This window comes from Homo sapiens, chromosome 16 (genome assembly GCF_000001405.40).
Source record: "Homo sapiens chromosome 16, GRCh38.p14 Primary Assembly".
Lineage (NCBI taxonomy): Eukaryota > Metazoa > Chordata > Mammalia > Primates > Hominidae > Homo > Homo sapiens.
The window spans coordinates 47271956-47299953 of NC_000016.10; the positions used below are offsets into that span (position 1 = coordinate 47271956).

Sequence of the window (27998 nt, forward strand, 5' to 3'; positions counted from 1 at the left end):
CTTGCATATGAATGTTCACAGCAGTATTCATAATAGCCAAAAAGTGCAAAAAACCCATATGTCCATCAACTGAAGGATGAATAATGAAATGTAGTATAACCATATAATGGTCTGTTGACAACAGAAAGAAAGGAATACTGCTACACACTACGACATAGAAAAATCTTGAAAACATTATACCAAGTCAAATAAACCAGTCATAAAGTAACACATATTGTATAACTGCATATACAAGATGTTCAGAACAGGTCCAATTATAGAGACAGAAAGCTACAGAGACAGAAAGCTATAGAGACAGAAAGAAGATTAGTGGTTTCCTAGGTCTGGTGGCAGTGGACGAAGTCGTAGGGGAATTGGAGAGTAACAGCTAAGGTGAATGGGGCTTCTTTTTAGGGTAATAAAATGTCCTAAAATTGCTTGTGATGATGGATGCACAACAATATGAATACATTTTTTTTTAATTGAAGTCCAGCTCTGTTGCCCAGGCTGGAGTACAGTAGTGTGATCTCGGTTCACCGCAATCTCTGCCTCCCAGGTAGAAGTGATTCTCCTGCCTCAGCCTCCTGAGTAGCTGGGATTACAGGCACGCGCCACCACGCCCAGCTAATTTTTGCATTTTTAGTAGAGATGGGGTTTCACCATGTTGGCCAGGCTGGTCTCGAACTCCTGACTTCAAGTGATCTGCCTGCCTCGGCCTCCCAAAGTGCTGGGATTACGGGCGTGAGCCATTGCGCCCAGCCTGAATACACTTTTAAAAGCCACTAAATTGTATAGAATAAATGGGTGAATTGTATGGTGTGTGAATTATATCTCAACAAAGTGGTTAATACAAAAGTTAACTGCAGAACATTTCAACCTATTTAAAAAACCCATGGTAAATGTTTAAGTGACATAATGTGTAAAATGTACATATTAAATGTTGCTTCTCTGAATATGCCAATATTTGTATATCTAGTATGCAATTTTTTTGAGGCTGGTTTTAATTTATCTTCAAAGGCTATAAAATTGGTGGTGTTACTCAATACACTACCACTTGATGAGGTCTGGGTTATTCTAGGTGGTTAATGTGCTGTAAGCAACTGTCTTACTTCTCATTAAGAGAGGTAGCTTATGGATCATTTAACTTAAAGTCTGATTTTTCTCCTTGGCTGTCCTTAGAGCTCATGTCCATTTTAGTCATTTCTATATTCAGTGAGTTCTCCTCTTCCAGACTGTCTTTAACTCTCTTCCTTAATTCCCCAATTTCATTATCAGCCTAGACTCAAATGGAAAGAGCTTCAATGTGGGGATACGTCTGTCTTACTGTATAAACCTTAGGAAAGCCAGTTCTACATGGAGAAGAAAAACAAATTAAGAAGAAACACAAATAAGTCCATTAGGAATCCTCTAAAAATTAAACATTAAAAAAATGATGCTCTGAAACCCATGCTGCCTACTATCGGTAAGTGCAGAATGCTTAGCTAAGCTGATATAAAACTTTCACTTAGAAATACTAAATATTATTGAAGTGTTTTGCAACATATGCTACTGACAACAAGAAATAGTCAAAGGCAATTAATTGATATTCACAATAAAGTTCACTTTATCTCTGGGCAAATGCAATCCATTTATCCCCAGTCAGTGTCTAGGATATGTGACTCAGTGGGGGAGACAGCACATGTTACCTGAATGAAAAAAGGAAGCGAGCATCTTTTGTAGAGGGAGGCCAACTGAAAGGGAAACCTAATGGAATATAACACTGTGACTGCTGAAAAGTTTCTGTCAAATAGGTGAGTAGAAAATATTTTGTCATGTTTTAATTTACCTATATTCAAAAGAATCTATTAGTTTGTTTGTTTATTTATTTATTTATTTATTTATTTAGAGATGGAGTCTCACTCTGTTGCCCAGGCTGGAGTGCAGTGGTGTGATCTTGGCTCACTGCAAACTCCTCCTCCAGGGTTACTACAAAATATTCATTAGCTCATAAAAGGTAAGAAATCCATGTACTTTAATAACTATGAGATACAAGAATTAATCGGCTGGGCGTGGTGGCTCACGCCTGTATTCCCAGCACTTTGGGAGACCGAGGTAGGTGGACTGCTTGAGGTCAGGAGTTCAACACTAGCTTGACCAACATGGTGAAACCCCATCTCTACTAAAAATACAAAAATTAGCTGGGTGTGGTGGTGGGTGCCTGTAATCCCAACTACTCGGGAGGCTGAGGCAGGAGAATCGCTTGAACCTGGGAGGTGGAGGTTGTGGTCAGCCAAGATTACGCCATTGCACTCCAGCCTGGGGGACAGAGGGACTCCATCTCATAAAAAGAAAAAAAAAGAACTAACCAAATGTAAGATTCAATCTTATCATCTTGAGAAAAGTTTGACCATGCTGAGTTAACAGAATTGCCCACCTTAAGAAGGTGCATTTATCCTATCAATGAAAGTGTATTAAAGTAAGATTAAACCAGGAATGTATATAAAATCAGCTATTAAATCCTTTGCTAAGCAGAGAACAGAACACTTAGACAATTAACTAAAACTTGGGCTGAAAGAAAGAACAGATGTAACACAATTAGCCCTTCTAGTAAAAAAAACTGAAAACTTTTTTCCTTTTCAGGTTACTGTTGGCCTTAGGTGACCCCAAGTGACCCAATTGAAGATTTAAGCTTCACATGCTATGAGATGAAATTCTCTCTTCTTATTATAATGGTAGCTTTAAAACTGCCAAACAATAGAATACCTATGATAATGAAAATTTGTAGAAAATACCACTAATAAACTCTCACTTCTATATATCCTTATATAGACGTAACAGCTTGTTACGTCTGCTAACAAGCTGTTGAAGACGTAGAGAGATGAACTACAGTGGGAAAGGCCATTAGTCCAATAGATGTTTTGTGGAACAAAATCTGAGTAAGTCTGCTTAAATACCATAGCCATAATGAAAAAGCCTTTCAGAAAGTCCATGATTGTTCCTTCACTCTTTAGAATTCTATTTCAAACTCTGTAGTATGTAAAGAATTGAAATATAATTCAAACTCTGTTCACTATGGGAAGAAGGGGAGGGAAGGAATTTCTAAGACTTATGAACAATAGAATTTTGAAAGTGTGGCTAACACAACCAGGGATTTTATCTGGTGAATTTTACATATCACATGTCTGTTATTTTTAATAGTTTCCTCTGCTTGGGTTCATGTTCATAAATCTTTTGCTAAATTTCCACATGTACCTGACATGTATGAATCTGTTATTCTACTCTGTTTAGCTGACATTGAATGTCTACTTCCTGAAAGGACCTGGAATAATATATTTTCTTTGGATTTGAGAATCCCAGTCCTCTCCTTTGTTATTATATTTCTTCAACTGCTGTTTTTGGATTATACAGGGCACTGTTTGTGAAATGTCACTTATGGGGCTAAATAATAATGCTATCAAGTAAATACACAATAATAGGTATTTATAAAATATAGCTATATAAAATACAGTACATTTTATATGAGAGAGTTGCATCACACAAGCATAGCTTCTCAAGCTAGTAAGATAAAAATCACGTACATGCTGGAGTTAATCCACACAGATTTAACGTTCTGAATCCAACTGCATGCTTGACATGCTGTAGGAGATCAATATATAATCTGTTTTTCACCAACTGTAGAGGTATAGTAAAAAGGCTAGAGAATTGTGTTTTCATATGTAATCTTCTCCATTTTATCTTACAATATATATTACTGTATATGTATAGGGAAGATGACACAAATCCATATATGTATATTTTAACTTGTGAGTGATTTAATGGATTTTAAAGAGTAATTCTGCCATTTTTAGACTGACTTTAAAACCTAATTTGTGATTCTGCCACATATCAAAATGCAAACAGTGATCATCTCTGGGTGATTTTTAAGCTTTTAAAATTTGTACTTCCTAAATTGCTATAATCTGTGATTAGAAGAATAAATAAAATAAAAAGTACTGTACTATATTTACATTCTATTAAGTCATACATGGTTCTGTTACATATTACAAAATAAACTCTTCTGAATAAAAAGAATGTATGGTCATGAACAAGTCAATGATACCAAATAACACCATGACTACTCAACACTGTAATGAAGGTCCTGGCCAATGCAATAAGACTAAAAAAGAAAGAAGAGATACAATACTTACATAGCAAGAGATCATTTTTATTTTCAAATGAAATAATTATCTATATAGGAAATCCAAGAGAATATGCCAATTATTAGAATAAGAAAATAGTCAGATTGATGAATATAAGATCCACATACCAAAATCAATAGCCTCCTTAAATTTCAATAATAGTCATTAGAAAAGTAATAGGAAAAAAAAATCTCATTCAATAACAATGAAATCTCTAAGTTTTAAAAAATAATCTAGCAAAAGCTGTGTCGGAGTTTTATGAAGATAATGGCAAAACATTACCAGGGGAAATGTAAAGACAATGTGAATAAATGTTATGGAATGGAAGATTCAACATCACAAATAGTTCCTCAAAAATTAATCTTTAAATAAAATGTAATCAAATCAATCAAGAAGTCAACAGAATTTTTTTTGGTCAAATAAGAAAAATTAATTCTAAATTCATGTGAAGGGACAAAGGGACAAGAATAGTCAAGACAATTCTGAAGACAAAATTACATGGGAAGGTATTTCCCTATCAGATATCAAACATTATTTTAGAGCTAGAATGATTAATACTATGTGGAATCAGTGCACAGACTGATAATTAAGGTAAGGCACCAAAATAGAAGGCACAGAAATAGGACCACACACACAGAGAAACTGGATACACACAAACGTGGCATTACAAGTCAGTGGGGAAAAATACACTACTCATTAAGCATGGGGACAACTGGTTATCCAAGAGAAATGAATTAAACTAGGTTCTTTTGATGCAATACACAAAAATAAAGTTTAGGTACATTAAAAGCCTACATATGAAAAGTAAAATTCTAAAACTTTTATGATAAAATACAGGAAAATATCTTTATGACCACAAGATAGATCATTATTACCTAAATAAGATCGAGAAAAGCTGAGATTGCAAACAAAATAACCTGTATTCATTCTGTGCACATCTGTAACATTAAGCTAGCTATAATTATCCCTATTCTCTCCCATTTTGTTTTGTCACATGAGAAGAGCCTACTGAATACCACTGAGTTATCATTACTATTGTGGCAGCTTATACACAATTACATGTAAAAATGTACTAGATTATAATTTTAACTGAGCTATATAGCTCATCAAAAACATTATATTATCTTAAAATCAGTTTGCTTGTTTTATTGGAAATATAATCCATGCATTTTAATTTCCCAAATTGTAAAAATTAAATACAATTGTCCCTAGGTATACACATGAGATTGGTTCCAGGACCAGCCCCCAGTACCCATACCCAAATCCACACATACTGAAGTCCATAGTCAGCCCTTTGGGGTCCGATGCCATAGGAAATATGTACAAGGGTTTGCATCCCACGAATACTATATTTTCCATCTGTGTTTGGTAGTGGATGCAGAATCCACAGGTAAGGAGAGCTGACTGTATTTATTGAAAAAATTCCACATAAGTGCATCAGCAGAGTTCAAACTGGTACTTTTCAGTGGTCAACTGTATAAGAATATATTTACAATATGGCAGTGAACACAGTACCTTGAAACTTCAAAAGAAAATTAGATATGACCATTTCAACATGCAATATAGTAAGAACTATTCACGTTTGGCTACTAAGGAATTGAAATGTGGCTATTCTGAATTCAGATGTGCTTTAGTGTAAACTACAGAGTGGATTTTGAAGAAGTAGTATGTACGCACAAAAAATACATACTACAACAACACAACTGTGTTTTGAAGAATATGCTACTAAATTTCTTATTCTGTAAGGAGATGGCTGTGTGTGATATGCCAGCACATACACTTATTTCAGCTATTATATTTGGGAGAGACAAGCTTATGTCCCAGTTCAAGCTCAGAATTGCCCATAATCAGAACAAATATCTTGCGCAAACAGATAACCTTTAAAGTATATCACAAAATTATATATAAAATATAAGGCAGAATAAATTTGTTTCAGCATTAAACCAATTATTTATTCACATATCTACCTGTGTTCCCTCATACTCCTATTGTCTAAAGGGGAGATTAAGTTTATATCTGTTCATTGGTCTTGAGGTCTGCTTCCAGTCTTTATTTAAAGCAGTCTTACTTAACGGAGATTACAAATGGAGATTTTGTGTATAGAAGTGTCAGTGTTTAACATGTTTTCATGTAAATAGAACAGACATAAAGAATAGTGGTGGAGTCGAGGAGAACACAAGTCACAGGGGTCTCAGTTGTATCAGAATAATCTGAACAAATATGACCAAAAGTGAAGATTTCTCAGAATGGTGGTGATTTGAAAGGTGATTGGAAGACGCCATTTACAAATGGAGTTTCTTTCCAGGCACTGGGACTAGGGCTGAGTCAGTCTAGGGCAGGAACAGAAGGGGCGGCTGCTGCTACCTCGCTCCACATTTCAGATGGTAGAGCATTATGCACAAGTGTCCATGGTCCAGGCAGTATGCAAGAGAGATGAGAAAGCATGCGAGGCAGGCCGACTTGTTTCTGCTCTTTCTATTCCTGCCTGGACCAGCAATTTCACTGCTATTCTGTGACAGATCTGTCACACACAGGCTTAGATAAAAAATATTTCTGTATAGAAAAAAAAGTTGTGAAAGTGATATTTTTGAACTTCTAATGCTGTTACTCTAGGGAAAAGCCAGTAGTGGCAATGGGGAGGAAGGGAGAGACTTACCATATGTGAAGGGAAAATAACTCAGCAACTGGAGTGGAAATGATTATTATCAGCTAATAGGAATTATGTCAACCTAAATATTACTCACTGACAGCACAGCTATGTACAATTTATGATAAGGGAATAACTTAAGCAATGGTGAATACTTATGAAAGACTTGAAATTCTTACATTTCTTCTGCATTCAAAGTTTAACATTCATAAAAAATTAGGAACCAAGTTACATTCTGAATCTTCCTATTTTTTTTTATTTTTGAGTTTAGAGTTTTTTTATATATTGTGAATACAAATCCTTTGTGAATGAGATTTGCAATTATTATTTCTCCTAGTCTGTGGCTTGTTTTTTCATCCTCTTTGCAATGTCTTTTGTGAAGTAAAGGTCTGAATTTTGATAAAGGTCAACTTATCAGCCTTTCTCTTTCGTTGACTGTGTTTCTGGTGTCATGGCTAAGAGCTCTTCAACTAACTCAATCTAGGTCACAAAGACTTTCTATGTCTTCTAAAGGTTTCATCATTTTATGTTTTACATTTAAGCTTGTAATCTATTTTGAGTTAGTTTTTGTGTAAGATATGATGTTTAGTCAAGGTTTTTTTTTCCCTGCTAGGGATGCCCAGTTTTTCCAATACCATCTGTTATAAAGACTATCTTTTCTCCATTGAAAAAGAGACTACACTTCTCTTAAACACCGTTAGCTGTACTAGTAAGCTGTACTTGTTTGGCAGTCTAAGTTATTCCACTGATCTATGTGTCTACTGCCTTGCCAATACCACACTGTCTTGATTATTGTAGCTATATAGTAAAATCCTTAACTTAGGGAGTGTGATTTCTCCAATTTTATATTCTTTTTCAAAACTGATTTAGCTATTTTGGTTCCTTTGTCTTTTCATATAAATTATAGAATCAATTTGTCTGTATCTACAAAAAAACTCTACTGCGATTTTGATAGGAATGACAATAACTCTACATATTGAGAGAAATGATATTTTTGGATGTTGAGTCTTCCAGTGCCTGAATATGGTATGTCTCACCAATGGTCTTCTTTGATTTCTTTCATCAGCATTTTGGAGTTAATGACATATAGATACTTAATATGTTTCATTTATACTTAAGTATTTTGTTTCTTAATGCTGCTTTAAATTGGATTGTATTGATTTCTATTTCTAGTTGTTCATTGCTAATATATAGAAATAAGAGTGATTCTTGTGTATTGATCTTGTATCCTGCCACTATCTTAAATTCACTTAATAGTTACATGAGGTTTTTTTTCCCTAATTCTTTCAAATTTTCTACACCAACAATCATGTCACCTCAATAGGGGAAGTCTGACCTCTTTCTTTACAATTTGTATGTCTTTTATTTCTTATTCTTGCTTTACTGCACTGGGTAAGACTTCCAGTACTAGGTTCAATGGGAGTAGAGAGAGAACACAAACTTGCCTTATTCTCAGTATTAGAGAAAAGCATTACTTTTACTTTCACCATTAATTATAAGGTTGGCTGTAGATTTTTTTATAATTCTTTATCAAGTTGATGACGTTCCCTTGTATTCCCATATTTCTGAGAGGTTTTATCATGAATGCATTGAATTTTGTTAAATGATTTTTCTACATGAACTGATATGCTTATTCCTTTATTTAAAATAGTAAATGGAGGAATAAAATGATTTTTAAATATTAAATAACTGTACATCCCTGGAATAAAGCCCACTTGGTTGTGGTGTATTATTTTTGATATATTGCTGGGATTCTTTGGTATAATGGGAAATATATATTTGGTCTTGGTCCCCAGTTCCTGGCATGGAGCTCCTAAATGGAATTTCCTGAGCAATAGGAGCATCTTTTGTTACTCATAACAGGCCCTTCCAATTATCTGAGTTTATGCTAATGAGATGAGCTATCTCATCTATCTTGAGTTTATGCTAAGGCCCTTAGATAGCTTCAGGATGAGGCCTTTCACCAGAAACAACAATCTTTGATCAGAGGGTTGGAACTTTCAGTCTCACCCCCTAATCGTCCCAGAAAAGAGAGGAGGAGCAGCTTGAGTCCAACGACCAATGGCCAATGACTGAATCAATCATGCCTACGTAATGAAGCCTCCCTAAAAACCTCTAAACGACAGGATTTGGTGAATACATCCAGTTGTGAGGGTGGGACACTCTAACTCCATGGGGACAAAAAAGGCCATGCTTGTGACCCTTGTGACCTTACCCTAATGTACCTCTTCATTTTGCTGTTCACTTGCTTCTTTTAGAATAAACTACAATAGAATGTATAGCATTTTCCAGAGTTTGGTGAGTCTTACTAGCACATTATTGAACATGGGGAGGAATGAGGACTCCTGAATTTGTAGCCAAGTTGGAGAGAAATCTGGGTATCCTGGGGACTGGAGCTTGAGATCGGGATATGAAGTCAAGGCAGTCTTGTGGAACAGAATCCTTAACAAATGTAGAGTTGCACACTTACTCTGGGAATTTGGTGTCAGTGGCTTGGATCACTGGGCACACAAGTGGTACTGGAGAATCAGAGATTCAATGTGCTAATTTGTTGTTGGGTAATTTTTCATCTCTGTTCATGAAGTATTAGTCTGTAGTTTTCTTTTTTTGTACTGTTTTTGCCTGGTTTGGCATTAAGGTTAACATCAGCCTCCTAAATTTAGTTGAATTGAGAAGTGTCCCTTAGTCTTCTATTTTCTGGAAGAGCTTATGTAGAACTGGAATTATTTAAAGGTTTCGTAGAATTTGTTAGTGAAACTATCTGGGCCTGGAGATTTCTTTTTCAGAAGGTTGTGGTTAAAGTTTTAATCTCTTTAATAGTTATACAATGGTTCCTATGATCTATTTCACTTTGAATGAATTTTGATAGTGTGTGGTTTTCAAGGAATTGTTAAATTAAGTCAAAGTTGTCAATTTATGCATGGAGGGTTGTTCATTGCAACAACACTAATCCTTTAAGCATCTGAACATCTGTAGTAAAATCTTCTGTTTCATTTTTGTTATTGTTTAAAAACTAACAATCCTCTCTTTTTTTTTGTCAGTCTTGTTAGAGGTTTAACGATTTTGTTGATATTTTCCAAAAACCAGCTTTTGATTTGCCTTTGTTATTTTTCTGTTTTTACTATTTATTTATTTTTATAGATTTAAGGGCTACAAGTGCAGTTTTGTTACATGGACATATTATGTAGTGATGAAGTCTGGGCTTTTAGTATACAATAGTATATACTGTACTCATTAAATAATTTCTCATCCCTCACATCCCCTCAGCTTCATGGGTACAATATATACTATTTGTATACATAGTTAATAGTTATACAATGTAATAATTTCTCATCCCTCACATCCCCTCAGCCTCATGGGTACAATATATCCTATTGTACCCACGTACAGTACAGTAGTATATATTGTACCCATGAGGCTGAGCGGGTATGAGGGATGAGAAATTACTACATTGGTACAATATATACTACTGTACCCATGAGTTGTACCCATTAAGTAATTTCTCATCCCTTACACCCCCTCAGCCTTGCGAGTCTTCACTATTACTCCATCCTCTATGTCCATGTGTACATATTATTTAGCTTGTATTCACAAGTGAGAACATGCAGTATTTGACTTTGTTTCTGAGTTATTTCACTTAAGACAGTTCCAGCCATGTTGCTGCAAAAGACACGATTTCATTCTTTTTTATAGATGAGTCGTATTCCATGGTGTATATGTATATGATATATATATTTTTTTATCCAATCATCTGTTGATGGGGAACTTAGGTTGATTCCATAGCTTTGCTACTATGAATAGTGCTGCAAAAAACATATGAGTACAGGTATCCTTTTGGTATAATGATTTCTTTGCCTTTGGTTAAGTACCCAGTAGTAGGATTGCTACGTCAAATGGTAATTCTATTTTTAGTTCTTTGAGGAATCTCCATACTGTTTTCCACAGAGGTTGTATTAATTTTCATTCCCAATGACAGCAAATAAGTGGCCCCTTTTCTCCACATCCTCGCCAACATGTTGTTTTTTGACTTAACAGCTGTTCTGACTGGTGAAAGATGGTATATTTCATTGTGGTTTTAATTCTTATTTCTCTGATGACTAGTAATGTTGAATATTTTTTCATGCTTGTCAGTCACTTGTATGTCTTTGTCTGAAAAATGTTTGTTCATGTCCTTTGCCCAGTTTTTAATGGGGTTGCTTTTTTTTCTTGCTGAGTTGAATTCCTTGTAGATTCTGGATATTAACCCTTTGTCAGATGTTCAGTTTGCAAATATTTTCTCCCATTCTGTAGGCTGTCTGCTTACTCTGTTCATTATTTATTTTGCTATGTAGATAAGCCTTTTAGTTTAATTGAGTTCCATGTATCTATTTTTGTTTTTATTGTGTTTGCTTTTGAGGACTTATTCATAAAGTCTCCCTAGGCCAATGTCTAGAAGAGTTTTTCCTAGGTTTTCTTCCAGGATTTTTATAGTTTCAGGTCTTACATTTAAGATTTTAATCCACCTTGAGTTAATTTTTGTATATGGTGAGAGACAGGGGTCCAGTTTAATTTTTCTGCATATGGCTAGCCAATTTTCCCAGCATCATTCTTTGAAGAGACTGTCCTCTCCCCATTGTGTATTTTTGTCAACTTTGTTGAATATTAGTTGGTTGAAGGTATGTGGGTTTGCTTCTGGGTTCTCCATTCTGTCCCATTGATCTGTGTGTCTATTTTTATAGCAATACCATGCCAGCTCCTTATAATAAATCCTGTCTCTGTCCATTCTATTGGTTTTGTTTCTCTGCAGAACCCTGACTAAAACCAATATGCTACACTGTGAAATTTGAAGACAGAGGATGGGGCCATGAGCCAAGGAATGCTGGTATTCTTAAGAAGCTGGAAAAGGCAGGGAAACAAGTTCTCCCCTAAGCCTCCAGAAGAACAAGTGGTGCTAACACTTCGACTTTAGCCCAGTGAAACTTATTTCAGACTTCTGACTTCAGAATATAATAAATCTGTGTTTTCCTAAAAGACATTATATTTGTGGCAATTTGTTACTATGGCAATAGGAAACTAATACACAAACCAGGTTCACTCTTGGTACCTTTCTACAATATTGTGTCAGTCAACATTTGAAGCTCACAAATGGATAAATAAAATGTGGTATATCCATGCTGTGGAAAATTACTTGGCAATAAAAAGACATGCAGAACTGATATATCTGATATTAAGGGTAAATCTTGAAAACACTATGCTAAGTGAAAGAAGCCAATTATGAAGGATCATGAATTATAATGATTCAATTTTAGTCAAATGACTACAATAGGCAAATCTGTAGAGACAGAAAATGGATTTGTGGCTGTCTATGGCTTGGGAGGTGATGGCTTAGAAGTGTGAGGTTTTCTTTTTGGGGTAACAGAAATGTTTTAAAACTGACTGTGGCAATGGATGCACACCTCTGTGGATATACCAAAAGCCATTAGATTGTACACTTTCAACATGTGAATTTTATGATATGTGTATTTACCTCCACAAAGTTGTTAAACAATTATACATTTATAAAAACATTAATGAAGCAGAATAAAAGTACACAAAAATTCTAGGAAAAAAAGAGCACCAATAAGATATAACATATTTCTATAGTCAAGAATATATGCAACTTATTTAAATAGATATTGTGTTCATTATATAGTAGCCTTACAAAACGCGTTCCTCACACTCACAAGTGTTTTAATGTTCATAGATGAAACTCAGTTTAATTTATCCTGTTTTGCAGTTATAATATACAGTGTAGCCATCATCTAAACAGTGATAGATGTTTTAATACATCTATAAACACAATAAATACAATCCAAACAGCTATTTCATTACATTCTTTAGCTACCTGTCAGATTAATGCATAATGGGTCAAGTCAACTATGCTCACCTTCCCCACAACCACCCCCATTAAAATTGTTTTCTGTGCTCCTTAGAGAGTCAAGAGAAGAATGAATGTGCTATTTTTGAAATGTATCTTTAAAAAAATTCATGTGCTTGGAATAATTCATGGAAGAATAACTGTTTCTGAATCTTCAAAAAACAAAATGTCCTCAAATAAGTATTCTTAAGTTTGTACATGAAAACCCAAAGCTTGTATAATTTTCTTGAATCACACATATATTTAATTAGAATTTATGGTGTAATATTTATTCTGAAGGAATGAAAACATTTGAAAAACTGAAGCTATCATGTTATAGAAACTTACATAGAACAACATCAGAATTACTCTACACATGTCAAGTATTATTGTTATTATGGTGGTATTATACATATTAGTTTTCTTCCACCATTCCTGGCTCAAAACTCCCATAGCCCTCGTTACAGTCTTTTGTTGTAATGTTGGGTGTGTTAGGCCTCAGAGGCAGGCCTCTGACCTTCTCCTGCACTCCGTTCACGCTAATGTTCCTTTCTGATCCTGGGTCTTAAGACACTCCCATGAGAGAGTCCCACCCTATACCCTGGGGGAAGAATGCTGATGCAATGAAGCTTCCATAAAAACCCAAAAGGAAAGGGTTCAGTAAACATCCGAGCTGAACAAGTGGAGATTGCTGGAGGGGGTTGTGCCCAGGGAGGGCTTAGAAGCTCTGAGCCCCTGCCCCGTACCTCACCCTATGCCTCTCTTCATCTATATCTTTTATAATAAACCTGTCAATATAAGTAAGTGCTTCTCTGAGTTCTGTAAGCCACTCCAGCAAATTAACTCATACCAAAGGAGGGGGTCATGGGAACCCCAACCTGACGCTGGTTGGACAGAAATTTCAGAGGCCTGGGCTTGCAACTAGTGTGTATGTGGCAGTGGTCTTGGGGATTGAGCCCTTAACCTGTTGGATCTGACACTATCTCCAGGAGTGTTGGAACTGAATTAGAGGACACCCAGCTGGTGTCTGCTGCTTTGTGTGTGGGGACAAAAACTCCACACATATGGTCACCCAAGTCTTCTATGTTAGTAACTATTGTGGTGTGAGAGTAGAGGAAAAACATAGGCAGAGAGAGTTTTTCCTACACAATTATATTACATAAGAGCTGTAGAAAACAGTAGTAGTCAATTCAAAGAATTTTGTAAACACGCGTTATAATAATATTGCTTATAATTCTTTCATGTACCCTCTGCCTCTGATCATCTGTGCCTTGGCAAGTGTTGCTCTCCCTGAAACTCACCCCCACACTTACCCACTGCTAAATTATTTGTAATTCCTTTGACACTCAGTGTAAGTACCACTTTCTCCCAAAAGCCTTTCCTGACACTCCTCCACATGGCAGACTACAAAGGGAAGGAGCTCAGTATAGGGAGATGGAAGTAACATCACTGCTTGGGGCAAGTTGGGTTCCCTGGGAAGGAGATCTGAGATGGAAACAGGACAGCAGTAAATATATTACATTGAACTCTACATAGGTAGAGGGAGAATTTAGACTGTGATGCAGTCTTAACAAAGGCCTCAATCTATCCCACAGGAAGCTCTGAAGTTGGGATGGCCATTCCAAATTGTCCTCCATTATGGGTGCAGAGGCTGGGACTTTAACTGCCCCGTCAATTATATGATATGATAAAGGAGGCATATCACTAGAAAAAGTGGCCTTCTTTGTTAAAGATAATTGCCAGAGGCTGGGCGCGGTGGCTCACACCTGTAATCCCAACACTCTGGGAGGCCGAGGTGGGTGGATCACCTGAGTTCAGCAGTTCTAGACCAGCCTGGCCAACATGGTGAAACCCCATCTCTACTAAAAATACAAAAATTAGCTGGGCATGGTGGCGGGTGCCTGTAATCACACCTACTTGGGAGGCTGAGGCAGGAGAATCACTTGAACCCGGGAGGCAGAGGTTGTGGTGAGCCAAGATCATACCATTGCACTCCAGCCTGGGCGACAAGAGTGAAACCCTGCCTCAAAAAAAAAAAAAGATAATTGCCAGAGAGTGTTAATAGCAAATGGCTGTCAGATGGCAGCCTTCTCAGCAGCCCAGGAAATAGGTCCTTAAGTCCTAAAGAGAGATCTGGGTAGCACCACATTGCTTATATACTATGTGCTAGGTGCTGAGCTTTGATACATTATACAGTTTAATTCCTCCAGTCTTATGAGGTATGGATTACTATCCCTATTGTATTCATGAGATAGGCAAGGCTGAGAGAGGTTAAAAAACTCACTGAACATCTCACATTTAATATGTGGTAAACTTACAAAATCTATATTCTTTCACTTAATCACAACTTCCTCTCAGGTAGTTCACATTCAAGGAATGTTAAGATAATAAATTTGTTCAAAAGTTTGGCTTTTTGAGGCAAGCAAGACCTACATCAATTGCTAGCTGCATTTGTAAGATAAAGCTGAAGATCAGATGTATCAGAGCTAATGCAAGGACACTTGGTTAAGAAATGATGCTGCAACTAGACCCGAAGACCATTCTAACTCTGTACACCATACAGAGAAATGCTGTCCAGAATAACGTTGTGTTAACAGAAATGTTCTCTATTTAAATATATATATATTTACATATAATTTTTTCTTAAATTAGAGGTGGGGATCTTGCTCTATTGCCCGGACTGGTCTTGAACTCTTGGCTTTAAGTGATTCTCATGCCCTGGCCTCCCAAAGGGGGATTACAAGCGTGAGCCACCAAGCCCAGCTGCTGCAAGACCAACTGCTCTATTTTTTTTTCTTTCTTTCTGAGGCAGGGGCTTGTTCTGTCACCCAGGCAGGAGTGCAGTGGCACAAACACAGCTCACTGCAGCCTTGACCTCCTGGGCTCAAGCGATCCTCCTGCCTTAACCTCCTGAGTAGCTGGGACCACAGGCACCTGCCACTATGTCTGGCTATTATAAAATTTTTTTTTGTAGAGACAGGGCCTCACTATGTTATCCAGGCTGGTCTTGAACTCCTGGGCTCAAGCAATTCCCTCACCTCAGCCTCCCAAAGTGCTGTGACTACAGGTGTGTGCCACCATACCAGGGTTGTCTGTTTTTGATTCTGGCCATCCTAGTGAGTGTGAAGTGGTATCTAATTGTGGTTTTGTTTTGAATTTCACGAATGACTAATGATGTTAAGCAAATTTTTATGTGCCTTTTTATCCTATGCATATCTTCTTTGGAAAAATGTCTATTCACAGTTTAAGGTGAAAAGTGAGCATTAACCTCTTCTGTTAGAAAGCATGGCAAGAATAAATATCTCAATTTACTCAATTATCTTCTGCCTTATACAGTGTTATCCACATATAAGAACTTCAACTGCTGACATTACTTTCTCCAGGAAGTCTTCCTAGTTGCATCCTGTAGACTAGGAGAAATGGTCCTGCTGTACATTTTTATTTTTATTTTTTTGAGAAAGAGTCTATTAACCAACCCTTGGCGTTCACCTATTCCACAATAACCTCTATCTTAAGTAACAACTATTCTACTCTCTACTTCTGAGATAAACTATTTTAGCTTCCACATGAATGAGAATGTGGTTATTCACCTTTCTGTACTTGGATTATTTCACTTAATATAAAGTCCTCCAAGCTCATCATGCTGTTATGAATGACAACATTTCCACTCTTAATGGCTAAATATTTTCCACTGTGTTTATATACCACATTGCAAAAATCAATTCATCTCTTGATGAATAGTTAGGTTCATTTAATATCTTGGTTATTGTGAACAGAGCTGCAATAAACATGGGGGTACAGGTATCCTTTTGATTTCCTTTCCTTGGGATACTCAGTGGCAGGACTGCTGGAACGTATGGCAGGTATGATAGTTCTATTTTTTATATTTTTTGAGCAACCTCCACCCTGTTTTCCGTAATGGCTGTACTAATTTACTTTCCCACCATCAATGTATAAGAGTTTCCCATTCTCTGCATCCTCAACAGCATTTACTTTTGGTTTTCTTTTTTTTTTGAGACAAAGTCTCGCTCTGTCGCTTAGACCAAAGGCCAAGGTAGGAAGATTACTTGAGCTCAGGAGTTCGAGACTAGCCTGGTTAACATGGTGAAACCCCGTCTCCACCAGAAACACAAAAACTAGCCAGCGTGGTGGTGCACACCTGTAGTCCCAGCTACTTGGGGCTGAGGCACGAGAATCGCTTGAACCCAAGAAGTGGAGGTTGCAGCGAGTCGAGATTGCACCACTGCACTCCAGCCTGGGTAACAGTGCGAGACTCTTAAAAAAGGTGAAGTAAAATGGGTATCCTTGTCTCCTTCCAAATCTTACAGGAAAAGCTTCCAACTTTTCCTCGTGTAGTATAATGTTGGCAGTAGGTTTGTCATATATATCCTTTACTATGTTGAGGTATATTCCTTCTGTACCTAAATTATTGAGAGTTTTTACGATGAAGGATGCTGAATTTTATCACATCCTCTTTCGATATTTATTGAGATGACCAAAGAGTTTTTGTCTTTCATTTTGTTAATGTGGTGTATCACATTTATTGAATTGTATAGTTTAGCCATCCTTATATTCCTGGGATAAATTCACTTTGAACATGGTAAATGCTCTTTCTAATGTGCTGCTGAATTCAGTTTGTGAGTATTTAGCTCAGGACTTCTGCATCTCAACTAACCTGACATATTAAACTGTACTATTCTTTTTCTGTTGCATCCTTGTCTTGTTTTGGTATCAGGGTAATGGTGACCTTGTATAATGAGTATGCAAGAATTTCCACCTCCTAAATTTTCTGAAATACCTTAAGAATTGATATTAGTTCTTTATTTAATGTTTTATAGAATTCAGTACTGAAGCTACTGGGTCCTGGGCTTTTCTTTAATGGGGGACATTTTATTCAGGATTAAATCTCATTACTTCTAATTGGTCTGTTCAGGTATTCTGTTTCTTCTTGGTTCAATCTTGGTGGATTGTATGTGTACATGAATTCATCCATTTACACTAGATTTTCTAATTTGTTGGCATATAGTTGTTTGTAATAGTCTCTAATGGTCCTTGTATTTCTGTGATATCAATTTTAATGTCTCCCTTTCCTTTTTGATTTTATTTATTGGGGCCTTTCCTCTTTTTTTTATCTAGATGAGTCTAGCTATTGGTAAATTTATGTTAATCTTTTCAAAAATCAACTTTTGCTTCATTCATCCTGTTGTTTTGTAGTCTCAATTAGTAAAATTTCTGCTCTGATCTTTATTGTTTCATTCCTCCAACTAACTTGGGGTATAGTTTCTTCATGATTTTCTATTTTTGACATGCATTGTTAGGTGGTTTATTTAAAATCTTTCTAGTTTTTTAATGTTGGTGTTTATATCAGCTTTTGCTGTATCCCACAGGTTTCGGTATGCTGTTTTCCTATCTTCATTTGCTTCAAAACCCATTTAAGATACCTTCTTCATCTCTTCATTGACCCATTGGTCATTCAGAAGCATACTGTTTAATTTCCATATATTTGCACAATTTCAAAAGTTTCTTTGGTTACAGATTTCTAGTTTTGTTGCATTGTGGTGAGAAAAGATATTTAATATAATTTTAATTTAAAAAAATTTGTTGAGACTTGTTTTGTGGTCTGCCATGTGGTCTTACCCTGGAGAGTGCTGATGGAAAGAATGTGCCTTCTCTAGCTGTTGGATAAAATGTTCTGTAAATGTCTGTTAGGTCCATGTGGTCTAAAGGACAATCTGAAAGCAATGTTTTTGTTGGTTTTATGTCCAGATGATCTATCTAATGCTGAGAGTGGTTACTGACGTCTCCATCTATTATTGTATTGAAGTCTACCTTTCCCTTTAGATCTAAGAATATTTGCTTTATATATCGCAGTGCTCTGGTATTGAGTGTATTTACATTTAGAATTATTATATCCTGTTGCTGGATCAGTTCCTCAATCATTATATAATAATTACTTTGTCTGTTTTTAGAGTTTTTAAAAAGTCTGTTTTTTATAAATAAATGTAGCGATACCAGCTCAATTGGCTTCTGTTTGTGTGGAACATCTTTTACCGTCTCTTCACTTGCAGTCTATATGTGTATTTACAGGTAAAGTGAGTATCTTGTAGTAGGTATAGATGGGCCATATTTGTTTTTAAATCCATTCAGTCAGTCTGTATCTTTTAAGTGGGAAATTTAATGCAGGTACATTCAAGGTTATTACTGATAGGTGAAGACTTACTCCTGTCACTTGGCTGAATGTTTTCTGTTTTTTCTCTATATACTTTGTTTCTTTATTCCAATCTTGTTTATTAATGTGGTTTCACAGTTTTTTGCAGCGACAAGGTTTAATTCTTGTCTCTGTTTTCTTTTAATATCTGTTCTATTATCTTTCTCATGTTTTCATGATGGTGAATATTGTCCTGTGGCCTGCTAGATCTCGGACTACCTTGACTATTTCTTGTAAGGCTGATCTAGCAGTTATAAATTCTCTCAGATTTTTTTCTAGGAAAGACATTATTTCTCTCTCTCTCTGCTGAACTACAGCTTTGGTGGTTATAGTATTCTTTGGTTTTTACAGTTACAGTATTCTCGGTCGTATCATGTAAAACAATTATTTTTTCTTTCAGCACTTTGAATACATCATCCCACTCATTCATAGCCTGTAAGGTTTCTGCAAGAAATCTGTTATTCTAATTGGGATTCCTTTGTATGTGACTTGACTGTTTTGCTGTTCTTTTTTGCTTTTTCTCCTCATTCTCTTGCTGTTTTTAAATTTTTTTCCTGTCTCTGCCATTTGACCATTTAATTGCAATATGCCTTGGGGAGGACCATTTGCAGTTGATTCTCTTTGGAGACCTTTGAGATTCCTGAATTGAAACGTCCATCTCTCTCCACCGACATGGAAAGTGTTCATCTACTATTTCATTAACCAGATTTTCTATGTAATTTTCCTTCTCTTCACCTTCTGGAATTCCCATAAGATTACTATTTGTGTGCCTATTGATGTAACTTAAGTTTTGTAGGATTTCTCTCACTCTTTTGCATTCTTATTTCTTTTTATCTCTGTCTGGGTAATTTGAAATGACAGATCTACATATTTAAAGGTTCTTTCTTAAGTCTGATGAAGTCTGCTACTGCAGCTGTCTATTTTATTTTTTATTTCATTCATTGAGTAATTAAGCTGCAGGATTTCTGTGTGGTTTTTATTTTTTTATTATGATTTATACCCCTTTGTGAATTTCTTATCTAAGTCTCGTATTGTTTTTATGAGACTGTTGAATTGTCTACATGTATTTTCTTTTGTCACACTGAGTTTCCGTAATATCATTATTTTGAATTCCTTTTCTGGTAACTGTTGATTTCTTTTACACTGGGATACATTATTAGAGATATGATATGGCATTCATGATGCCATTTTTCCTTGCTTTTTTTTTTTTGAGATGGAGTTTCGCTCTTTCGTCTAGGCTGGAGTGCAGTGGTACAATCTCGGCTCACTGCAACCTCCACCTTCTGGTTTCAAGAGATTCTCCTGCCTCAGCCTCCCAAGTTGCTGGGATTACAGGCGCCCGCCACCACACCCAGCTAAGTTTTGTATTTTTAGTAGAGATCGGGTTTCACCATGTTGACCAGGCTGGTCTAGAACTCCTGACCTCGTGATCCACCTGCCTTGGCTTTCCAAAGTGCTGGGATTAGAGGCGTGAGCCACCGTGCCCAGCCTTTCCTTGCTTTTTAATGTGTTTTTCTGTGTCCCTATATTGATGTCTCTGTATTCGATGAAATAATCAGTGATTCCAAATTTCCTAGTGTGCCTGTTCTAGAAAAAGACTTTAGAGTTTCATTTTATTGTGCCAGTTGGGAATAGTGTGGTGATTTTGCTTATGGATGAGTGTAGTAATATAGGCTCTGTGCAGACTTTTCTCCCTTTTATTTACTCATGAATACTCAAGGCTACAAGTGCAGTTTTTTTTATGTTGCACAGTGGTAAAGTCTGGGACATTAGTGTAATGATCACTTGAATAGTGTACATTGAACCCATTAAGTAACTTCTTATCCCTCAACCCCCCTCACCCTCCTTCCCTTCCAAGTCTTCAGTGACTATTATTTTACAATCTATGTCCATTCTGCACACTAGAAACTTGACTTTGTTTCTGAATTGTTTAAATTAAGATAATGGCCTCCAATTCCATCCTTGCTGGTGAAAAAGACATGACTTCATTCTTTTTTATGGTTGAGTAGTATTCCATGCTCTCTCTCCCTTCCAAGTCTTCAGTGACTATTATTTTACAATCTATGTCCATTCTGCACATTAGAAACTTGACTTTGTTTCTGAATTGTTTAAATTAAGATAATGGCCTCCAATTCCATCCTTGTTGGTGAAAAAGACATGACTTCATTCTTTTTTATGGTTGAGTAGTATTCCATGCTCTCTCTCTATATATATATGATATATATATCATATATACAAATACACATATACATATATATGTATGTGTATATATGTATATACATATGATATATATCATATACAAGCATGATATATAATATATATCATATACAAGCATGATATATAATATATATCATATACAAATGATATATATTATATATCATATATAAATATGATATATAAATGTGATATATATATTTTCTGTATGCAGTCATCTGTTTATGAACTTAGGTTGATTACATATCTTTGCTAGTATGAATACCGCTGCAATAAATATACAAGTGCTGGTATCGTTTTGGTATAATGATTTATTTTCTATTGAGTAGATATCCAGTAGTGGGATTGCTGCATCGAATGGTAGTTCTATTTTTAGTTCTTTGTGAAGTCTCCAAACTGATTTCTATACAGGTGTACTAATAAACATTCATACCAACAGCATATAAGAGTTCCCTTAATTCTGTATCCTTGCCAAAATCTATTATTATAGAGTTTTTGGTAACAGCCATTCTGATTGGTGTAGGATGATGTCTCATTGTGGTTTAGATTTGCGTATCTCTGAGGGTTAGTAATGTACATTTTTTTATGTGCTTCTTGGCCATCTATATGTCTTCTTTTGAAAAATGTCTACTTGAGTCCTTTGCCCACTTTTAAATGGGGTTACTTGTATTTGTTTTTTTTGGTTGTTGTTGGATTGAGTTATTTATAAATTCTGAATATAAGTCCTTAATCATTAATCAGATCTGTAGTTTAAAAATATTTTCTCCCATTTTGCCAGCTGGTCTGTTCACCCTGTTGATTATTTCTTTTGCTGTGCAGAAGCTTTTTAGTTCAATTAAGTCCCATATGTCTATTTTTGTCATTGTTGATTATGCTTTTGAGGCCTTAGTCATGAATTAGCTGCCTGGTGGCCAGAAGAGTTTTCTTTCCAGGATTTCTTCCAGTATTTTTATTATTTCAGATCTTATATTTCAGTTCTTGATCCATGTTGAGGTAATTTTTAAATATGGTGAGATATAGGGGTCTAGTTTTCATTATTCTGTATATGGCTGTCCCATTTTCCCAGCAGCATTTACTGAAAAGATTGTCCTTAGTGATTGTTGTTTTTGTCTTAACAAAGATCAGTTAACTGTAGACTTTTGGCTTTATTTCTGGTTTCCACATTCTGTTTCATTGATCTATGTGTCTATTTTACTTAATACCAGTACTATGTTTTGGTTACTATAGCCTTGTATTATAATTTGAGATAAGATAATATGATGACTCCAGGTTTGCTTTTGCTCAGGAGTGCTTTGGTCATTTGGGCTCTTCTTTTGTTCTATATAAATTTTAGGATGTTTTTTCTAATTCTGTGAAAACTGACATTGGCATTTTCATAGGAATTGCACTGAATCTGTATATTGCTTTGGGCATTATGGTCATTTTAATGACATTGATTCTCCTGCTCCAGGACCATGGGATGTTTTTCCATCTTTTTGTGCCATCTACAATTTCTTTCATCAAAGTTTTGTAGTTTTCCTTGTAGAGATCTTTCAACTTATTAGTGAAATATATTCCTAAGTATTTTATTTTGTCTTTTGTAGTCAGTGTAAATGAAACTGCCTTCTTGATTTGTTTTTCAGCTTGATTTGTATTGGTGTATAGAAATGCTACAGAGTTTTGTATGTTGATTTTGCATCTTGTAACTATACTAGATTTGTTTATCAAAACTAAGAGTTTTCTGGAGAGGTCTTGAGGATTTTTCTAGGTGTTAGACCATATCTTTAGTGAATACAGATAGTTTGACTTTCTCTTTTCCAATTTGCATGGTTTTCATATCTTTCTATTGTCTGATTTCTCTGGTTAGGACGTCCGGTATTATTTAGAATAGGAGTGGTGAAAGTGGGTATACATGTGTTGTTCCAGTTCTTCGGGGAAGAGCTTTCAATGTTTCCACATTCAGTATGATGTTGATTGTGGGTTTGTTGTATATGGATTTTATTATTTTGTGGCATGCTCACTATGCCTAGGTTTTGATGATTTTTATCATGAAGAGATGAATTTCATCAAATGCTTTTTCTGCATTTACTGAGATGATCATACAGTTTTTAACACTGTTTATGTGGTGAATCACATTTATTAATTTGCATATGTTGAACCATCTTTGCATCGCTGGAATAAATCTTGCTGTGCTGTTGGATTCAATTTGCTAGTATTATGTTGAGGATTTTTGCATGTATGTTCACCAGATTTTCTCTTTTTGTTGTGTACTTGTCTAACTTTGGTATCAGGGTGATAACAATTTCATATAATGAGTTAGGGAAGATTCCCTTCTCCTTGATTTTTTGGAACAGTTTCAGTAGAACTGGTACCAGTACTTCTTTGTACATTTAGGAGAATTTGATTGTCAGTCCACACGGTCATGCAGCTCTTTTGTTGTTGTTTTGGGGAGATGTTTTTATACTGATTTAATCTCACCACTCATTATTGATCTGTTCAACATTTATATTTCTTCCTATCTTGAGAGGTTACGTTTCCAGGAATTTATCCATTTCCCCTAGGTTTTCTAGTTTGTGAGCATAGAGTTGTTCATAGTATTCTCTGATGATCTTTCATATTTATGTTCTATCAGTTGTAATGTCTTCTTTTTCATTTCTGATTGTATTTATCTGAATCTTCTGTTTCTTGGTTATTAGAGGGAGTGGTTTATCAATTTTGTTTACATTTTCAACAACCAACTTTTTGTTGTCTTGATTCTTTGTATTTCTTTGGTCTCAATTTTATTTAGTACTGCTTTAATTTTTATTATTTCTTTTCTTCTGCTAGCTTTGGGTTTGGTTTGTTCATATGTTTCTAGTTCCTTCAGGTTTGATGTTAGTTTGTTAATTACCTTTGTTTTGGGAGGCAGGGCCTCACTCTGTTGCCCAGGCTGAAGTGCAAGTGGCACAATCGTGACTTATTGCAGCCTGGACCTTCTGAGCTCAAGCGATCTTCCCACCTTAGCCTCCCAGGTAGCTGAGTCTACAGGCATGCATCACCATGTCCCGGCTAAGTTTTTATTTTATTTTATTTTATTTTATTTTATTTTATTTTTAAATTGTTCGTAGAGGTAGGTCTCGCTATGTTGGCCAGACTGGTCCTGAACTCCTTGGCTCAAGGGATCCTCCTGCCTCAGCTGCCCAAAGACGCTGAGACTACAGAGATGAACCACCAAGTACAGCCCTTTTTTTCTTTTTTTTTTAATGTAGGCATTTAACACTATAAACTTCCCTCTTAGCACTGCTTTTGCTATATCCCAGGGGTTTTAACATATTGTTTCCATTTTCATTCTGTTCAAAAAAATTTTAATTTCCTTTTTAATTTCATTGTTGATCCAAAGACTGTTCAGGAGTGTGTTGTCAACTCTGTCTATTTATACAGTTTCTTGTTTTGTTTCTTTGAGATGGAGTCTGGCTCTGTCGCCCAGGCTGGAGTGCAGTGGCACAATCTCGGCTCACTGAAACTTCCGCCTCCCGGATTCAAGCGATTCTCCTGCCTCAGCCTCCTGAGTAGCTGGGATTACAGGTACACGCCATCACGTCCAGTTAATTTTTGTATTTTTAGTAGAGATGGGGTTTCGCCATGTTGGTCAGGCTGGTCTCAAACTCCTGACCTCAGGTGATCCACTGGCCTCGGTCTCCCAAAGTGCTGGGATTACAGGCTTGGGCCACCGCGCCTGGCTATTTATATAGTTTTGAGAATTTCCGTTGGTATTGATTTCTAGTTTTATTCTGCTGTGATCTGAAAAGATACTTGACATGAGTTTGATTTTTAAAAATTTTTTGAGACTTGCTTTGTGGTAACATATGGTCTATTTTGGAGAATGTTCCATGTTCCGATGAGAAGAATTATATGGTTAGAATGTTCCACATGTGTCTATTAAATCCATTTGGTCTAGAGTCCAATTTAAGTCTAGTGTTTGTGGTTTTTCTGTCTCAGTGTTCTGTCAGTTGCTGTGAGTGGCATGTTGAAGTTCCCCACTATTATTGTATTATTGTCTATCTTTGTCTTTAGGTGTAGTAATATTTGTTTTATGAATCTGGGTGCTCTGGTGCTGGGTGTATATATATTAGGATTGTTATATTCTCTTGTTGACTTGATTCCTTTCTCATTATAAAATGACATTCTTTCTTTTTTACTGTTTTTGATTTAAAGTATGTTCTATCTGATATGAATATAGTTACTCCTGCTTGCTTTTGGTTTCCATTCATGTGAGGAAAATCTTTTTCCAACTCCTTTACCCACAGTCTGTAAGTGTCTTTACCAGCTGAGAGGATTTCTTATAAGCAGCATGTAGATGGCTGATTTTTAAAAACCCATTCCATCAATTTATATCTTTTAAGTGGAATATTTATGTCATTTACATTCAAGGTTAATATTTTATACTTTCCCGCACTTTTATGGTGGTAAGTACTAACCCTTTGTTTCCATGTTTAGAATTCCTTTGAGTATTCCTTGTAGGTCCAGTCTATTTGTGACCACTTCCCTTGATGTTTGCTTTTGTGGCAAAGACTTTATTTCTACTTCATTTATCAAGCTTACTCTACCAGGATATAAAATTCCTGATTGACAGTTTGCTTTTTTTTTTTTTTTTCTCTTTAAGAACTCAGAAAAAAGGCTCTCAATCCATTCTGGCTTGTTAAGTCTCACATTGAGAAGTCCACTGCTACTCTGATAAGGTTTCTCTTATAGGCAACTAGACATCAGATTTTTTCCTACATGTTGACTTTATACAGTTTGATGACTATATTTCTTGGTGAACTATGTCTTGCAATGCACTTTTCTGGTATTTGCTGGGCCTCTTATATTTGAATGTGTAAATCTTTTGCAAGACTAGGGAAATTTTAACGTAGTATTTCCTTAAATAGGTTTTCCAGTCTTGTTACTTTTTCTTCTCTTTTGGAAATACCAAGGATTCATAAGTGTAATCATTACTATGTAGTACATATTGAAGTCTTTGTTCATTTTTTTCTTTTTTTCTGACTCTATTAATTTAAAAGATTTGTTTCAAGCAGTGAGATTCTCTGCTTTGCTTGCTCTAGTCTCTTGTTGAAGCTTTCAACTGTCTTGTTTAATTCCTTCAATAATTTTTTATTTTCTAGCAGTTCTGGCTTTTTTAGAAATAATGATATCCATCTCGTTGGTACACTTGTCATTCATATTCAAAATTAATTTGTTGATTCATCAGTACTGGTTTTCAGATTTGTCTTTTTATTTCCATGAGATTCTTTACAATCAATAATTTAAATTGGTATTTTGATTATTTCTTTTTGGTTAGGATCTATTACCGGAGAATTACTGTTTCTTTGGGGATGCCATAACCCTTTGCTATTAAATACTTCAGCATTATTACACTGATTTCTTTACATATGAGAAAACAGTTGCTTCTTCTTGCTTTTGAATTTACTTTCTTTGGGGGGAAATTTTTTTTTTTCTCTTCAGGATGTGACTATGATGTTATGTAGGGCTGTTTCTCTTTGCTTCTGGGTATGTTCAGTAGCAAAGACTCTGTACAATATTAGTTAAAAATAGCTTTAATGTGGTGGCTTTATAAAATGGCAGTTGTAGTAGCTGTGTACTGGGTGGATGAAGAAGCCACTTCAGAATACTGAGAAGCCAGGGTGGCATGGGTGATGGTGGATGCAGAGGTCACATGAAGCCTGTCTCCTTCCTGAGTGCTGTGCATCTTTTTCAGCAGATTTGCCTTGTGTTTTGGAGGCTGACCTGGTCAGTAGGTGGTACATGCCAGTTAGAGCAGGCTGCCATGATAGCAGTAGGGTTTATATGTGATCTTTGTTAACATCTGTAGAAGCGCTTTCAGTGTCCCAGGTGGTGGGTTGGGCCCTGGAGTGCTCAAGGGCTTGAGTCACCTTCTCTCTAGGATGGGGTGGTAAAGCTGAGTAAAGCCAGATTGGGGAACCCTGCACTCAGGCCCCCCATGGCAGATGTACACACCAGCCCTGAGAGGGGTGGTGGGGGAGTCCTCAGGCCCCTGGTGAAATCTGCTGAGGTCTCCGCTTGGGGAGTGAAGGGCGGTACCAGCACCATGGCTTTGACAGGCAGGAATGAGATCTGCTACCTTTACTCGCCTTTGTCTGACATTCAGAATATTCGGTTAGGTTAGACAATGCTGTTTCCTTTTAGGCTGCAATGCTGTTTACTTATAGGATGAAACTGTATCAGACTTTGTAGTGGCTGTGCATGTTGATATCCTGGCCAGTAGGCAGTGCGTGCAGGTGAGAGCCAGCTGCAGTGGTGGTGTTACAGTTAAGGCTTGACCTTTGTTAACTTGGTGATGTACTTGGGTTTCCCAGGCAATGGGTTGGGCCACGGAATTCTCAGCGGTCTCAGTCCTGTACTTTGCTTCCAAGGTGGGAAATAGGGGGGAAAGCTGGTGGTGTTGGGTAGAGGAGAAAGCAGGGTGGGGCTGAGATGGGCAGGTCTATACCTGGTCCTCCTAATGGCCAGTACAAGTGCCAGCCCTGATGGGGGTTGGAGGACAGTTCTCAGGCCACTGGAGCAATAGTTCAGGGAGAAGTGGAGCAACTCTTTCTGTTCCAACTAACCAGCATGGGGAAAGTGGGGTGGCTCGGGTTCCATAGCCTAGCAGGTGGTAGTGAGACCTGCCTTGCTCTCATGCTCTCAACCTAGCGGGATACCATCCTACGGCCTGCCACTGGCATCGAGCTGAGGCAGCCAGCCAAATCACAAGCAGTTTGTCTTTGGACTGCAATATAACCCCAGGCCATAAAACTGTGGCTCCCAGGTGAAACCCCTCCCAGCCCAATTCCAGGATGGGGAGGTTCCCGAATCCCATAACCTTGGCTGGAGCCAATGCCACACTTGCTTATCAGTTCTGGCCTCGTTCCTGGGACTGTGCATAGTCTGCTAAAAGGTAGG

The 27998-nt window shown here is 36.6% G+C and overlaps 1 protein-coding gene and 1 long non-coding RNA gene across 4 annotated transcripts in view; one reads left to right on the forward strand and one right to left on the reverse strand.

The window, feature by feature from the left end:
* Positions 1–27998, reverse strand: part of ITFG1 (integrin alpha FG-GAP repeat containing 1) — a 306856-nt gene that overhangs the window by 117565 nt on the left and 161293 nt on the right. The gene's annotated exons all lie outside the window — the stretch shown is intronic.
* ITFG1-AS2 (ITFG1 antisense RNA 2) overlaps positions 1017–27998 on the forward strand; it is a 60347-nt gene continuing 33365 nt past the window's right edge. For both annotated transcript variants that reach the window (XR_007065056.1, XR_007065057.1), the window contains exon 1: positions 1017–27993. This is a non-coding gene — a long non-coding RNA (ITFG1 antisense RNA 2). The remainder of the gene's footprint in view (positions 27994–27998) is intronic.